General features: G+C 46.5%; 1 protein-coding gene across 4 annotated transcripts in view; it reads right to left on the bottom strand.

Moving 5' to 3' along the window:
* CENPP (centromere protein P) overlaps positions 1 to 17,505 on the bottom strand; it is a 295,062-nt gene that overhangs the window by 7,779 nt on the left and 269,778 nt on the right. For 3 of the 4 annotated variants that reach the window (NM_001286969.1, NM_001012267.3, XM_024447543.2), the window contains 2 exons: positions 1,358 to 1,437; positions 137 to 228 (listed from right to left, as the gene is read on the bottom strand). In NM_001286969.1, the coding sequence (NP_001273898.1) occupies positions 137 to 228; positions 1,358 to 1,437 (172 nt within the window). Of the gene's footprint in view, positions 1 to 136; positions 229 to 1,357; positions 1,438 to 12,242; positions 12,495 to 17,505 lie in introns of those variants that run through there. The other variant, NM_001286971.1, reaches the window with a different exon arrangement.

The raw sequence follows: 17,505 nt of genomic DNA, 5'->3' as shown, positions 1-17,505 counted from the left end.
AAAAATTGATAGACAAAGTACATTAATGAGATTTCCAATTTTTGATTCTTGCCCTTTGAAACCCAGAGGAAACAGGCAGGCGGCTTTGCTGGGCATGTTGAGAAGTCACCTAGAGCAGCCACACCCAGGGCCCTACCTCGCTGTGGGACTTTGGTGAGAAGATCCAGCTTTGGAAAAACCTTCCCATCTTCATCTATTTGTATCCTCCAAACAATGACTAATTCAAACCTGAAAAAGCAGTAAAACATGTCGTTATGTGCTTTTTGAAATCTGGCGAAAAGATTAGCAACCATGAGTCGCACCTGGTCTCCATTTCCCCATGCTGGGCTCCCCTGCTAGAAACCCCAATCCACAGCCAAGAAGAGGCACAGTCAGTAGCACAGGCAAATGGAACCAGGATCACAGGAAGGTGCTGCTCTGTCCCCACTGCATTGGCAAACATTAGTAGGCCAATACCAGCGAAGTACAGAACATGGAGCAACAGAAACTTCAAAATTACTGGTGGGAGCAGACATGGACAAGCCACTTTGGAAATAATCTGGCACTGACAGTAAGCTGAACATGCATCCATGCATGACACAGGAATTTCATTTCTAGGCAGTTGAGCCCAGGAGAAGCTTATGTACTGTGTGCCAGGAGGTGTGAGCCAGAACAAAGAAGCCACGTGCTCCAGAGCTGAAGAGCGCAGCAAGACGCTGTGTATGATCCCCTCCGGGAGGATGAGCAGTGAAACTGCACTGCAGCTGCTCATGACCCTGGAGGAGGTGAACGGTGACAAAGGCAAGTCCCAGAAGCCTGCATAAGGACCACATGATTTTAAAGCTTGGAAACCAGTTGAGTTGAGGCATTCACACACAGGTCATAAAAGCACACCCAGATGGATACATGTCCACACATGCACAGCCAAGGGAAGAGGATGGAGAACACGGCACGGGCCAGGGTGGCGCCGGGGCTGGTGGAGGGATCAGCTGTGCTATCAGGGCACTAAGCCTGTCCTGTTTCTTCTCATTGCTTTGGGGTTTTCCACTCACCCCTGGCTTCCTCCCTTCGATTTCTGAAGTAACAGCAGATCCACAAGCATCTCCACTTTCTCCCAGCCTCCCTTCCTTGACCCCATAAGTCCTGGGGTGGGCCCCAGGACTGGCGTTTTCCCCCTGCGGCCCAGCACATCCTCCAGAGCTCCAGCTCCCCGCACCCCCATACTGGGCATATCTGCTGGGACCACTGATTCCTCCAACCGACGACCTTTAGTTCTTGGTTAGGTAGTTTACTACTTAGAATCCTACTTAGGTGGTCTCCTACTTGGAATCCTTGTTTGAACAGGAAATGGGAGGCCCCATGGCCTGTGCAGGCTCACCCTGGCCGGCTGGCGCTGCGGATCCCCATGGAGCAGGAGGAGGGCCCCTCCGAGAGGTACACGGCATCTGGGTACTTTTCCTGCATGGGGAGAAGAAACGGGTAGACAGATCCACTGGTGGGGAGAAAGGGGCCATGGGAGGGGCACGGGGCACCGTTCCAGGTGTCTGGCGAAAATCAGGGTCCGAGTGTTTGCGCAGCATCCATGGGTGCCAACCGCCCCTCTTGCCCTTGCTGTCACACACGTCCGCCCCACTGTAGGTCTCTCCACAGCCTCCAGGCTCCCATGACTGCTGCTTCCCCATCATGAACATTGTACATAACCTCCCTACAGCTGTATTCTCATTTCACAGGTTTCCCCACACCCTTTCCATCTGGGATGGCTCCTTGGTCTGCCCTTGTCTGTCACAACCCAGACGGTCTGGAGAGGACTGGTCAGAGGATTCCCCAAGCGGATGCGTCAGGCTCTTTGCTGGAAAGCAGCTGTTTTCTCACGGTTTTAGCATCTGACCTGAAAAGCCCTTTGAGCTGAGGCTCCGTGAGGGCTGTGGCCGAGCCTGGACGCCCCTCGCCTGTCCGTCCTCAGGACTCACCCCAGTGGTGTCCAGCCCACACACCGTCCTGGGCATGGGCAGGAGCCCACCCTGGTATCCTCACTGTGCCCAGTGGTGGTGCGGCTCCCACTGCAGTAAGGGAAAGGGCCTACCTTGGTGAAAGTCAGCTTCATGATGAGACGGCATTTTATGGTCAAAAGCCTCCTCCCAAAAGCAGGGAAATCAAGTGGAATCTCACAGATTTCTAGGCTTGCGGTTCTGGGAGAGTCTGGTTTCCCCCATGCGCTATGAAAATTCTGGACACGTCTGCTGTTTCTGTTACAGCAGGACCTGGTAGCCTCTAGCTATCCCAGAACCGACCCGCGAATTTAGATCATCAAACCACAACACAGTTTGCTTACTGGAACCTGAACAGATGATACATATTCAAAACTGATAAGAGTAATGGTGGCCCTGTTCTCTCAGTTCTTAAAAACTTGTCTTTTTGGGCCAGGTGCAGTGGCTCATGCCTGTAATCCCAGCACTTTAGGAGGCCGAGGTGGGTGGATCACGAGGTCAAGAGATTGAGACCATCCTGGCCAACACAGTGAAACCCTGTCTCTAGTAAAAATACAAAAAGTAGCCGGGCCTGGCGGCACGTGCCAGTAGTCCCAGCCACTCAGGAGGCTGAGGCAGAAGAATCGCTTAAACCTGTGAGGCAGAGGTTGCAGTGAGCTGAGATCGCACCACTGCACTCCAGCCTGGGCGACAGAGCAAGACTCCGTCTCAAAACAAACAAACAAACAAACACTTGTGTTTTTGGCTGGGTGCGGTGGGTGGCTCACGCCTGTAATCTCAGCATTTTGGGTAGGCCAAGGAGGGCAGACCACCTGAGGTCAGGAGTTCAAGACCAGCCTGGCAAACATGGTGAAAGCCCGTCTCTACTAAAAAAAATTAGCTGGGCGTGGTGGTGGGTGCCTGTAATCCCAGCTACTCGGGAGGCTGAGGCAGGAGAACCCCTTGAACCCAGGAGGCGGAGGCTGCAGTGAGCCGAGATCGTGCCACTGCACTCCATCCAGCCTGGGCGACAAGAGTGAAACTCCATCTCAAAAACAAAAACACACACACACAAAAATGTCTTTTTGTCTGCTCTTGTGAGAACAGATTGCAGGGTCAGGGGTGACAGGAGACTTTCACGGTAGGCTCCGCCTGAGATGTCGAGCTCCTAGGGCTAGTCTCTGAGAGACGTGCTTTCCTTTCTGTCCTCTCACAGCGACTGATATAGAAGCCTGGGGGTGCTGCTTAAGTCTCATGCAAGCCCTGCCATGATTAAAAAGCACTGTGGCCTCCCCAGGCCTTAGGGAAGGATAGTGAGGGGACGTTTTCCCTGAGAAGCATCTGGCCTGACAGCTAGTCAGAGGACACAAGGCAAGGGAGCAGGCTGGAACTGCAGTGACAGGGCCTTCCTGCTGCTCCAGAGACTTGCCGGATTGAACCAGATCAGCTCTGCTGAATGAGGTTGTGTGGGGACAATGGCATGACAAAGCTTTTAAAGGAAGCAGCCCCTGCATCGCTGAGCTCTTGCCAGTGTGGGAGGCCCTCACCCTGTGCATGTGGGCCCAGCATGGCAAGGGTGCATCGCAGCACCAGCTGCACCTGCCAGAGGCTGAGAGGGGCCTGGCGGAAGCTTACAATTACTAACTTCAGCACAACAGTTTCCATAAGAAAATGTATACCTAAGTGATTTAAGTGGAAAGTGTTGGTTGATTTTTAAGCCGCAGGCTCTTCCAAATTAATCACAACTGCATGAGGACCGTAAGGGAGAGCCTGTGAACGTGGCAGCTCAGCTTCCAGGCTGGCTCAGCGGCAGCACTTGGGACTCATTGGGACGGCTGGGGCCTGGGCCAGCTCCAACGTGGGGCCCGAGGTTCAGCCTCCAAGCACAAGGGAGCAGATGGAGCAGCTCTCTGCCTCCCTGGGCCTCTCCTCACCTCTCCTTGTGAGCAAAAAGGGGTTTAAATTAGATGCTTTCAGTAAAAAAAGTGTACCTTACTCCCTTTAGTTTGTAAAATAAAGTCAAAGGTAGAAACGCTGACATTAGGAAGAGGTCAGGCATTCAGTGCATGTTTCTGGAGGACTTTTGTGGGACTGTGTGCAAAGGTTCTTTTGTGGAAGTTAATAATGCTCCATTCTTTTAGCCAAGGTCACGGTCACTGATAACTTGAAATAGAAAGGATGGGTCTCATTGGCACACATGTACAGGTGGGGAGAGAAGATGGAAAAGCTGTGAACAGGGGTACGTTAGTTATATACAATACAACTCAAGACAGAGTGGGCTTGAGATCATTAGGCCTACGGTCAGCACATCTCAACAGCAGTCGAGTTTTATAAATGACTGTATTTGACGTGGATAAAAGATGACCAAATTGGCAAGAAAGAGTTAAGACAAACATGCTCTGATGAGGAAGAGGTATGTACCGTATATTTTCGAATGCTTTCCATGACAAATAGTTACACACACAAAAAAAGTGAATTGAAAAATATCAAGCCTTATCTGGAAAGCTCCTTAGATGTGTCACATTTAAAATCGAGGCCAAGAGAAGGACGGCACCTGGCTGAGCCCCCGTGGGACATTCTTGGACCCGTGGCTCTCCCTAGTGCACCTTAGGGACCTGCACACCCCTGAGACTTCTGGCTTAAGGAAAGTGAACGAGATGCCTGTGCTTCCATGGATATTGTCAGGAAGGTGGTGATATAGGGGTGGCTGTTGGGAGGGGACCTCGCTGAGCACACTAACTGGTTGGCAGGCACTGGCACTTCCCCTCTGGAGCCCCCGCCTTCCACAGGAAAGCTCGTCTTAAGCTAGAAATGCTGAGGCAGTGATTCAAGTGGGTGTTTGTTCAGCTGGTTGCCATATGTGGGGAGTCTGCATTTGAGAGCTCTCCTGGTGTTTATGATAGAAAGATGGCTGTAAGAATGTTGGCAATTTGATATCCAGCCCCAGTTTTACACCTGAGACCCACTGTGCTGTTGTAATAGCTGCTGGATGCTAGTCCAAAGGGAATAGAATTTTTAGCAGAGCTTTACAGAAAACCAACCTTGTATTATATTTCAGTGCAATACCAAAGAGGAATGCTATGTCTCCCACTTAAATAAATGGGAAACCTTGAATCCTGAGTTTAAATCTACCCTTGGGTGTCCACAGATACGTTAACTCATCTTGACTAATATTTTCCCAAAAATTATGTCTGGCCGATTCAGTGACTTTTAAAGAATTGAGATAAATTCATATAAATTATATGAGACATAATTCCTTTAAAGTGTATAATTCAATGGGTACTAGTATATTCACAAGGTGGTGCAACCATCACCACTTTCTAATTCCACAACATTTCATCACCCCCTAAATGTACCCTTTAGCTATTGCCCCTAGTCCCCTTAACACCCACCCTCCCAGTACAGCCATAAGCAACCACCAGGCTACTTTCTGTCTTGCTTTCATTTGTATTTTAGTAACATTTTCTGTTTTGAAAGACACTCTGGTCTATTGAGAGATGACATCAGTGAGGTTACACCGTGGCATAAAATGCTGGCAAAACTCACACTAGACTCCGCAGTAACTGGCACTGGGCCAATTGGATATTCACATGATAAAAAAAACAAACTTCAATGCTTACTGCACACCAAATACAAAAATTTACTCTAATGAATCATAGAAATGTAAGTGCTAAAACTATAAAACTTCTCTATTCAAGACATTTCATACAAATGGAATTACATATGGTCTTTTATGTACCACATTTTCTTTATCCAATGATCAACTAACAGACTTTTGGGTGGTTTTTACTTTTTGGCTATTTGATTTTTTAAAAAATTATTATTATTATTGTTATTATTTTGAGACAGAGTCTTGCTCTGTCGCCCAGGCTGGAGTGCAGTGGTGCAATCTTGGCTCACTGTAGCCTCTGCCTCCTGGATTCAAGCGATTCGCCTGCCTCAGCTTCCTGAGTAGCTGGGACTATAGGCACCTCCTGGGTTCAAGCGATTCTCCTGCCTCAGTCTCCTCAGTAGCTGGGACTACAGACGCGTGCCACCACACCTGGCTAATTTTTGTATTTTTAGTAGAGATGGGGTTTCACCATGTTGGCCAAGATGGTCTTGATCTCCTGACCTCATGATCTGCCCGCCTTGGCCTCCCAAAGTGTTGGGATTACAGGCGTGAGCCACTGTGCCTTGCCCTTTTTGGCTTTTTGAAATAATGCTCATAGCATTACTGTTTATAACATTTGTGTATAAGTTTTGCACATACATATTTTCATTTCCCTTGGTTATATATCTAGGAGCGGGATTTCTGGGTCATATAATAACTCTCCAACCATTGGGGAGTTGCCAAACTGTTTCACAGTGGCTGCACTGTTTTTATAATTCCATCAGCAGTGTACAAGAGTTCTGATTTCTCCATAGCCCCATCAACACTTTGGCCATGAGTTGGTATCTCATTGTGATTTTGATTTGCTTTTCTCTTATGTGCTTACTGGTCATTTGTATACCTTCTTTGGAGAAATGTTTATTCAGATGTTTTGCCAATTTTTATTTTTTTAAGACAGAATCTTACTCTCTCTCACAGGCTGGAGTGTGGTGGTGCATTCTTGGCTCACTGCAATCTCTACCTCCCAGGCTCAAGCAATTCTCCCACCTCAGCCTCCCAAGTAGCTGGGACTACAGGCACATGCCACCACACCTGGCTAATTTTTGTATTTTTTAATAGGGACAGGGTTTTGCCATGTTGCCCAGGCTGGTCTTGAACTCTTGGGCTCAAGGGATCTGCCTGCCTCGGCCTTCATAGTGCTGGGATTACAGGTGTGAGCCACTACGCCTGGCCCCTTTGCCTATTTTTAAATTGGGTTATCTTTTAGTTATTGAATTGTAATAGCTCTTTATATATTCTAGAACAAGTCACTTACCCAATATATGATCAAAAATATTCTCTCGGTCTGTGAGTTGTCTTTTTACTTCTTTAATGTACTTGAAGTACAAAGTTTTTCATTTTGATGAAATCCAATTTAAGTTTTTTCTTTTTGCTTTCTGCTTGTGCTTTTGGTGTCATAGCTAAGAAACCATGACCTAATTCACAGTCACAGAGATTTACATTTATGTTTAATTCTAAGAGTTTTACAGTTTTAGCTCTTAAAGTTAGGTCTTTGATCCATTTTGAGTTAATTTTTATATATGGTGTGAGGTAGGGGTCCAGCTCCATTCTTTTGTCTGTGAATATCCAGTTGTCTGAGAACCAATTGTTGAAAAGACTCCTGCTTTCCCCATTCAATCATCTTGGTTTCATTTGTATTTTAGTAACATTTTCTGTTTTGAAAGATACTCTGGTTTATAGAGAGATAACATCTGTGAGGTCACACCGTGGCATAAGATGCTGGCAAAATTTACCCTAGACTCCTCAGTAACTGGCACTGGGCCAATTGGATATCCACATGTAAAAAAAAAAAAATGAATTTCAATGCTTACTGTACACCATATACGAAAATTTACTCTAATGAATCATACATAGAAATGTAAGGGGCTGGGCGCAGTGGTTCACACCTGTAATTACGGCACTTTGGGCGGCCAAGGCAGGTGGATCACTTGAGGCCAGGAGTTCGAGACCAGCCTTGCCAACATGGTCTCATGGTGTAACCCCTTCTCTACTAAAAATATAAAAATTAGCCAGGTGTGGTGGTGTGTGCCTATAATTCCAGCTACTTGAGGGGCTGAGGCACGAGAATTGCTTGAACCTGGGAGGTGGAGGTTGCAGTGAGCCAGGATTGCACCAGTGTACTCCAGCCTGGGCAACTGAGATTCTGTTGTCTCAAAAAAAGGACACATAAGGGCTAAAACTGTAAAACTTCTGAGAGAAAACATAGGAGTAAATCTGTGTAATTCTGGGTTAGCCAAAGATTTCTTAAATAAAAATGCAGGCCGGGTGTGGTGGCTCATGCTTGTAATCCCAGCACCTTGGTAGGCTGAGGTGGGTGGATCACCTGAGGTCAGGAGTTTGAGACCAGCCTGGCCAACATAGTAAAACCCGTCTCTACTAATAATACAAAAATTAGCTGGGCATAGTGTCACATGCCTTTAATCCCAGCTACTCCAAAAGCTGAGGCAGGAGAATTGCTTGAACCTGGGAGGCAGAGGTTGCAGCGAGCTGAGATCACGCTCTTGTACTCCAGCCTAGGCAACAAGAGCAAAACTCCATCTCAAAAAATAAATAAAACTAACTAAATAAAAAAGCAGTGACCATAAGAGAAAAATAAATTAGCTAATTGACAGACTGGCTTCATCATAATTAGAAACTGCTACTCTTAAAAGCCATTGTAAAGAAGAAGAAAAAGAAAAAGGCCAACCTCAGACTGAGTGAAAATATTGGCAAAAACTTGTATCCAGAATATATGAAGGACACAACTCAGTAAAAAGAAGATAAATAACCCAATTTTAAACAATGGGCAAAGGATTTAAACCAAACTAGTGACGTATCTTTTGCACATCTCTTATTTGGTTAAATGTGCAAAAGATACATCATTAGTCATTAGGGAATTGCAAATTAAAACCACACGGTGATGCCACAACATACCCATCAGAATGGCTAAAATAAAAAAGAGAACAATACTAAGTTCTGGTGAAGATGTGGAACAACTGGAACTAACATACACTGCTGCTAGGAATTGGATAAGTTTGGCAGCTTCTTACCACATTGAACACACTTACTACGTGATCCAGCAATCCCTCTCCTACATATTTACCCAAGAGAAAGGAAAACATGTCCATACAAAAAAACTGCATGCAAACGATCATTAGTAAGAGCGCCAAAACTGGGAGCAGCAAGTGATTCTTTAAGAATGCACATCAGCCCCATTACCACCTGCTGGTGGTGGGGAGAAGGGCAAGGATGAAGTTCGGAGCAGGGCAGGGCCAGAACACACAGACTGGTCCCCAGAACCCCACCTGATGTCATTTGGAAAGGATCACACTGATTGCTGCATGGAGAGTGGACTGGGGAGGTGGGCAAGATGTGGGAGAAAGCAGGGGGACCATGGCTGAGTGACACTGGAGTGACGTGGATGTGCTCTGGGGGTGTGGCATCAGGGCTTGCTGGATGTGGGGTGTGGAGAGTTTCTGACCTCCAGGGCAGGGGTGCAGATGAGGTACTTTTTGTGAGGTAAGGCAGGAGAGGTGTGTCGGGGGTGATCAGAGCTGAGTGTAGGCAGGAAGGTGGGGAAGTGCACAGGGATCGCTGAGGAGGGAGTGGGCAACAGCTCCTGCAGCATCTGGTGAAAGTAGCAGAGACATGTCTGTTGGACTTGGCACTGTGGGTGTCTTGGTGAGTGTACCACCACACCCCTGCTCTCCACGCACAAGACTTCTGAGAGAAGTATGATAAACTTCAGAAAGGTTTAGAAATGCCTACAGCAGGAGCACTGGGAAGAACAATGATCTGCCCTCATTTCAGAAAGAAAACTGACAAATACAAAGGCACCTCTGTGCCAGACACTGGTCTAGGTTCTTCACACATTACCATGCGTATGATCTTATGTGTGTTAGACAATCAAACCATTACCGAGTGAACAGGTACTGCCGGGGCCCTGGGGCCTGCACAACTGCCCTGCCTGGGACAAGGGGCCTTTGTCCCACCTCAGCCCACTTAGCTGTTGATTGGCTATATGACTTTGAGAAATCCCTTTTAAACTCTCTGAGCCTCAGTCGTGTTTTTACAGTTTAATTTGAGGCTGGGTGTGGTGGCTTATGCCTGTAATCCCAGCACTTTGGGAGGCCAAGGCGAGCGGATCACGAGGTCAAGAGATCGAGACCACCCTATCCAACATGGTGAAACCCCTTCTCTACTAAAAATACAAAAATTAGCTGGGCGTGGTGGCGCCCATCTGTAATCCCAGCTACTCGGGAGGTTGAGGCAGGAGAATCACTTGAACCAGGGAGTCAGAGGTTGCAGTGAGCCGAAATTGCGCCAAAAAAAAAAAAAGTTTAATTTGAATGTAATTTTGAATTTACAGAAACAGTATACGAGGAGAATGAGAAGCTGCCGCCTGTTCACACCGCCTGTCACCTCCCTCTGTGTTGCGCCATGCTGAGACATGGTACCCCTCGCCCCTGGACACACACAGGGTTTTTCCCCAATTGAGCAGATCTCCTATGTGACCAAAACATACTTCTCCAAACCAGAACGTGCCCCTTCAGATGTCCCCAGCTGTCCCAACTGCGTCTCTCCTTCCTTGTCCCCTCAGGCCCCAGCATGGCTGGTCTTGACAGCCTGGGTGCAGCTGCTGGCACCACAGATTGCTGAATCTGGGCCTAACGCTGCATATCCATGCTGAGTTGATGCCAGGTTTGGAGCCCCATGGAAATGCTGCCTGTGTGCCTCAGACGCGGCCCCACCACTGTGCTCCATGGGATGTCCTGAGACCACTGTCCACTCCTGAGTCTGAGACCCTATGATGGCTCATGGCAACACCAACGACAGTGAGGGTCCCAAAAGGTGGCTTTCCGTTTCCATCATTCCTCCCGCATCTGTTGGCTTTCTACCAGCAGAAAGAGCTTCTCCTTTTCCCTTATTCATTTGTATCAGTATCCACTCAGTCACTTGTTTATTCCATAGGCTGTAACCTGTTTAAGATCACTATTGGTCGTGATGCTCAAGCCCCCAGGTCTGGCCAGTATGAGCTCCTGTAAACTGCTCCTGGTTCTTCTGACACAGCCCCACCATTCTTTGAGGTCTTCCTACTCTCTGGCATCATCAGCTGTTCTAGGCTCATTTTGTACTTCCCTGCCCAGCTCTAGAATCAAAGGAGCTGACAGTATTTACAAACCAGGACCTGGGCTCGTTGCTCCTGGAGCTTCATTACTTCTAGGGCCTGTCAGTGGAAAGAGCTAGGAAGGACACACTGGTGTGTGCAGGTGCATGAGCCACTTGCAGCCACTTCCACCCCTGTCTGTGCACACCCATATTCAAAACACGCAGGCACGAGCTCTCCCAGACACCTCAGTCTAGCTCTTTTGACATCTGTCAGTCGCTTTGCTGTTGGGGAGAGACTGTGTCCCTTCACCCTCAGTGTATCCCCTTGTTTGATCAGCCGATTTACAGTCTCCCAAGAGTGCCTGCTGTCCCCTCCCAGCCCACTCCTCTGTGGGCACATGGAGCGTGACATGGAGCTGACACAACGCAGTCATTTATCTGACACTGAGACTTTCCCGGGCCTAATACCAGGCCAGGCACCTCTGTCCTTTTGGTCACAGCGTGGCGTTTAAATGAGGGCTGGTACCCCCACGGGGGAGGCGAGATGGGGTTTTCAGATTCTCAAGAGCTCTAACATGGAAAGGACTGGATATTCGAGCACTTTGTATCATCACAATCATTTGAAGTAACAACTAACCGCCGGCAGCACCAGAAGCTCCCTTTGGAAATTTCCTGATTGGCACACCTAGCAGAAGAGAGTCCCTCACTGACACAGCGTCCGACTGAAATGTTAACAGAAATCCCCAGGCTACAAGGCTGGACAAAAGGTGCCTGACTTTTAAATCTTTTGATTACATACAGGATGGAAAGACTGTATCTCCAAGTCTAATTGTGTGGATTTTTAACCAGTTTTTCTAGACTCTATTTGTGTTTTTGAAGTAAATACGTCCATGTAGTGATACAAGCAGAAAGGAATGCAGTGGCTATGCTGCTGAATTGCCTCCTGTAAACCATATTAGCCTAACTTTCCTGGACGTGGTCCTGAGGCTCGGACACGCAAACACAGACCTAGCGACACACACGTCTGCCCCTAAGAGTCGTCTGGTTGGTAAAAAACAAGGGAGCACAGCAACTTGCTGGCTCAGGAGGCATCAGACCCACTTGTCTGACCCTGTGTGGGGACGGAAGTCAGAGATCAGTCGCCCTCAGTGGATGAACATGGGTGTCCAGGAAGGACCCCTCAGGGGACCTGCACCATCCACAAGACCATCCACAAAAATAACTGGGAACAGCTGAGGAGCTCTGTTAGAAGGATTGCTTGTCCACAGGGAGTTAAAAAATGTGTCCTAAATGTTGCTTAGTAAAACAAACAACCAGAAAAGCCTCTCTATTCCAAACCCATGGTGGGGCATAAACCTGGGAGAGCTGGAATGTCATTGCAGCACTTTGCCACAGGAGCAAAAACACAACCCCCACCAGAAGGGATGGCCGACCAGGGCATGACTTGCGCTGTCTTTCTGGTAGTGACTGATGCCCCAGAACCCTCGCAAGGGCTTGTGCCAAACATTCTCCATGTGCCCCAGCCCCAGTGGGGTGGCCCAGCCCTCAGCACTTACCTCATCTCCAGACCTTTGCAGAACAGACCAGCTGGGAGCCTCCATCCTCCCTTGACCCAACTTTTCTTGTTTGTACAGACTTGGGAAGAACCAGGGAAACCCAGAGTTGAAAGAGACCCACTCTACTGGAAATATATCCCAATGGCATTTTTAAAACGAAGAGCTGGGGAATTTTAATAAACAAACAGCAAATGCAAGCATGAATAATGGGCCTGTATGGACAGGAAGAGAGCCAGGGCAGGAGACAGCAAATGACAGGCCAGAAGCCAGATCCCACGCCCTTCTGTTCTTGTATGGAACCTCAAGCTAAACATGGTTGAAAAGAACTCCAAAGATTTCGTGACATGTGAAAATTACATTAAATGCAAACTTCAGACTTCAGTGTCTGTAATAAAGTTTGATTGGCACACAGCCACCCTCACTTAGGTATATACAGTCTGTGGCTGCTTTTGTGCTGAACTTAGTGACTGAGCAGACTACATGGCTGCAAAGCTTAAAACAGTTACTCCTTGGCCCTTTGCAGAAGACACGGACCAGGAAAGACCAGGGGAGGTGGGTCCCACTGGTCCCCCAGGGAAGCCTGTGGAGCTCCAGGCAGTTTGGATGTTCATGAGACACAGATAAACCAAAAGAGAGGCTGGAGGAGGCCACAGCCTAGGGGGAAAGTAATCTGACCATGTCTCGTAAATGGAGAAACATCTAGTGGGAGCTACACCATACTTTTAATAGTGCTTTCTCTTGGGAAGTGACTCTGAGAAACAGGAGGAAAGCAGATTAAAAAAACAACCACTGGGCCAGGCGCAGTGGCTCACGCCTGTAATCCCAGCACTCTGGGAGGCCGAGGCAGGTGGACCACGTCAGGTCAGGAGTTCAAGACCAGCCTGGCCAACATGGTGAAACCCCGTCTGTACTAAAAATACAAAAATTAGCCAGGCGTGGTGGTGGGAGCCTGTAGTCCCAGCTATTCAGGAGGTTGAGGTAGGAGAATCACTTGACCCTGGAAGGCAGAGGTTGCAGTGAGCCGAGATCGCACCACTGCATTCCAGCCTGGGTGACAGAGGGATACTCTGTCTCAAACAAAAACAAAAACAAAAACAAACAAAACAAAACAAAAACTACTGACCACACAATCCCTCCCGTATGGCACAGTGATAGTCTAGCCAGGGGCTGGTGTCGGACGGGGAGGTCTGTCCTGTGTGACCTTAGCCCCTAAGCCTAAGATGGACTTTTTTCTTTTTCTTTTCACCCTTTTTGTTTCCTGGGCTCCTTTCAGGGCCTGGTTTGGGCCATTTCTGTGCTTCTGAATAGTAAAATGGTTTTCAAACCCCTAGGGATGAAATTCCAACAGAAATCCCTTTATTCTCAACCATATTTCCACTTCCTTTTTTTTTTTGACACAGAGTCTTACTCTGGGTGTGGAATTCACTCCATCCCAGGCTGGAGTGCAGTGGTGCGATCTCAGTTCACTGCAACCTCCGCCTCTGGGGTTCCAGTGATTCTCCTGCCTCAGCCTCCCTAGTAGCTGGGATTACAGGTGCATACCACAATGCCTGGCTAATTTTTAGTAGAGATGGGGTTTCACTATTTTGGCCAGGCTGATCTCGAACTCCTGAGCTCAAGTGATGCACCTGCCTCGGCCTGCCAAAGTGCTGGGATTACAGGTGTGAGCCACTGCGCCTGGCCTCCTTGTAGTTTTTGCCATGTTTCATCATAGTTCATTTTAATTCTGTTAAGCTGGAAAAATTCCTCAAAAAAAAAAAAAACCCCTTCAGTTATTTGTTTTATAACTGAATATTTAAATTTCATTTATCTGTAATCTTTGTAATCTTTGCTTCTCATACAAATTTCTGTCTCAGGAGACAGGAAACAGTGTGTTCCGAGCTGGCCATGTGGACAGGCCAGTGAGATGCCCTGCCTCCTGACCTTGTTCCAACTGGACCCTTGTGCACACAGTGCAGGGTGAGACCCAGTGCTGCCTCTGCCCATGTGATGTCACATCACAACCCCAGAGAAAATGAAGACAAGTTATTTCCCCATGTAATTTCTCCCTCCTGACACATCCTCTAGTAGATTCCCACTACTCCCGATACTCTGTGGAGGGTTTTCTCACTGGAAATCACTGTCCCTTTGCTAGGGTGATTATAGAAAGCTCAGAGGAGCAAGGACTACTGTGCTGGGGTTGTGGGGATGAGGCCAACTCGCCCTCACATGCCCACCTTCTCCCCTCCTTCACTCCTTCTCAGAGGGACCCATGGCAGTGGGGGGTGAGAGCTGGCCCCTGCCCTTGGCCAGCCCAGACAGAGAGGAGCCCTGTGACTCACAAAACCCACACCCCCAAAGAACACCTCAAACCAGTTTGAAAACAAACCTTAGCACTTTTTGGGAAATCAGAATTGGTGCTGGGAGAGATCATGATGTGAACGTTTGGCCACAAACACTTTGTCTAGAAAATGGAACTAAAAGAAGGAACAAACGGATATGGGAATCCTAAAAATGAATAAAAGTTACAAATATGATTTTTCTATACTTTCCCACTTTAGAATGGAAAGGGGAAAATTACTCAAGCAAAGTCAGTAATTTATACACCTTAGAAACATGCACCCTGCAATCACTCTAAAGGCAAATGTACCCATAAAAAACTGACTTCCCATTAAGATTACTAGAGAAAACAGAGAATGCTTCAGATTGGAATGTAAGTCCTAGCAGTAGTTCTTTTTTAAGATTATCACTGAAAGTTAATCATGTAGTAATTTTAAGCTTTGAAAAGGAATTCACTTCCCTCCTAGACCACTAATGTGAAAATGTGAGCCAAGTTGGTTTATTTTAAAATAGTCAGAAATGATAATGAAGAAGCTAAATATACACACACATATCAATGTAACAGTAAATACTAGAAACTCTTTAGAGATAATTCCACAATTTTCTCTTTATGTAATTATTCATATGTAATTATAACAGATAATGAAAGTAATATTCCAGATATACACAGAAAATTTTATCATTAAGGTTTAAACTCTCATTATTTCATAAATCTCAAAGTAATGCTGTCTAAAAACATTGAAACTAATTATAATTTAAAGTTATGATCCCATTTAAACTTTTTCACAGAATAAGGGAGATTCTGAGATTGGCAGGCGTTCTTGAGGTCTTCAGGTTCTTTTTCACAAGACAAATCACTCCCACTCCTGTCCCCACCCCGTTTGGAGCCCTTCATTCTTGCAGGCCCTGTGCAGTCGACTTGCACTATAGCTCATTCAATCCTCACAGTGGTCATATGAAATCTGCGGTATATTGCTCATTTTAATGAAACTAAGGCTCAGAATAATTAACATAACTTGCTTAAGATTACACAACTAGTAAATTGATTAAAACCTAAGGGAAACAGATTCCAAAACCTAAGCTTATAAACATTCTACTAGATAACATCTCTAAGCTCAAATATAGTTGCAGTATACAGGTCAAGTTTTATCACAATCAATTTGTAGCAGCATAATTCAGTGCTGGCAACTGACTTTGATGGTAGCAGAAAAAACATTTTTGTTGGGAAACATAATTGCCCCTAAAAATTTGCTCACTTTTTCCCAATCTAGTGCTAGACATGAATATAGCCAAGTCTCAACCTTGAAGAGCCCTGATCTAGTAAAGGAAACTTCCTATGCCTCATTTTTTATTAAAAATACTTAGAGGAAGTATTATAGAGGAAGGTTATAAAAAAAAAGCCACAGTGGGGCCCAGAGTCCAGAACCTCTCTGGCTCTTATCATCGTTTTTTTTATTAATAGATGGCTGCTGTCATGGCGGGGACAGAAGTCGGGGTGTAGGAGAGCCTTTCTGCCTCCCGTATGGACTTCCGACTAACTCTTCTCCATCCTGTCCCTACTTTCCAATGTACTTGATGCCTCCCATTTCTGAGCAAATTGGAATTCTATAAAACACATCAGCCTTCCTCAAGGCTTTCTCTCGTTTTAATCAAATACCACACTTTCTAGCTTCCAATATTGTATTGCTGCCTTCTTCCCACCTATTTTTCTATTCTTTCTTTTTTTTTTTTTTTTTTTTTTTTTGACACAGGGTCTTACTATGTTGCCTAGGCTGGCCTTGAACTCCAGGGCTTGGCTTGGCCCTACCTATTTATCTGTGCATTTATGTCTTTTAAAAACTAACCGGTCTGGGCAACATAGTGAGACCCCATTTCTACAAAAATTTTTAAAAATTAGACATGGTGGTGTGTGCCTGTAGCCCTAGCTACTTGGAAGACTTAGGCAAGAGGATCACTTGAACCGAGGAATTCTGGGCTACAGTGAGCTAGAATCACACCACTGCATTCCAGCCTGGGCAACAGAGCAAGACTCTGTCTCAAAACAAACAACCAAACAAACAAAACACCTTTTTTACTGCCATTTTAGAAAGGTTTTGGCAGGGTGCCTGATAAATGCTGTATGTTTCAATCTGCCATTTTTTGAGGACTTTCATGTTTAACAATGTGTTTATTTTTCCCTCATACTTGATGAATAGTTTGGGTATAGAATTTAAAGTTTAAATAATATTTATACTATATTTTATAAATAAAGCCAATGATGTATGTTCAAACTTGTACTTCACAGTCTTACGTTAAATGCTTTCAGTTTTTTAAAAATGGAAGGAAATAGGCTGGGTGCGGTGGCTCATGCCTTCAATCCCAGCCCTTTGGGAGGCCGAGGTGGGCAGATTGCCTGAGGTCAGGAGTTTGAGACCAGCCTGGCCAACATGGTGAAACCCTGTCTCTACTAAAAATAAATTACCCAGGCATGGTGGTGCACGCCTGTCATCCCAGCTACTTGGGAGGCTGAGGCAGGAGAATCGCTTGAACCCAGGAGACGGAGGTTGCAGTGAGCCGAGATGGTGCCACTGCACTCCAGCCTGGGCGACAGAGCGAGACTCCATGAAAAAAAAAACAAAAAACAAAACAAAAACAAAAAACAAAAAACTGAGCAGACTTGGGAGTTCATGCCTGTCATCTCAGCACCTTGGGAGTGTAAGGCCGGATGATTGCTTGAGGTCAGGAGTTCAGGACCAGCTTGGGCAACAAGGTAAGATCCCCATCTCCACAAAAAATAAAAAATTAGCTGCGTGTGGTGTTGCATGCTTGTGGTCCCAGCTACATGGGAGGCTGAGGTGGGAGGATCAGTTGATCCCAGGTGGTTGAGACTGCAGTGAGCCATGTTTGTGCCAATGCACTCTAGCCTGGATGAGAGAGTGAGATCTTATCTCCAAAAAATCAATAA

The sequence above is a fragment of the Homo sapiens genome, chromosome 9 (genome assembly GCF_000001405.40).
Source record: "Homo sapiens chromosome 9, GRCh38.p14 Primary Assembly".
Lineage (NCBI taxonomy): Eukaryota > Metazoa > Chordata > Mammalia > Primates > Hominidae > Homo > Homo sapiens.
Note: the sequence above shows the minus strand (reverse complement) of the source record. Positions and strands in the feature narration are given on the sequence as shown.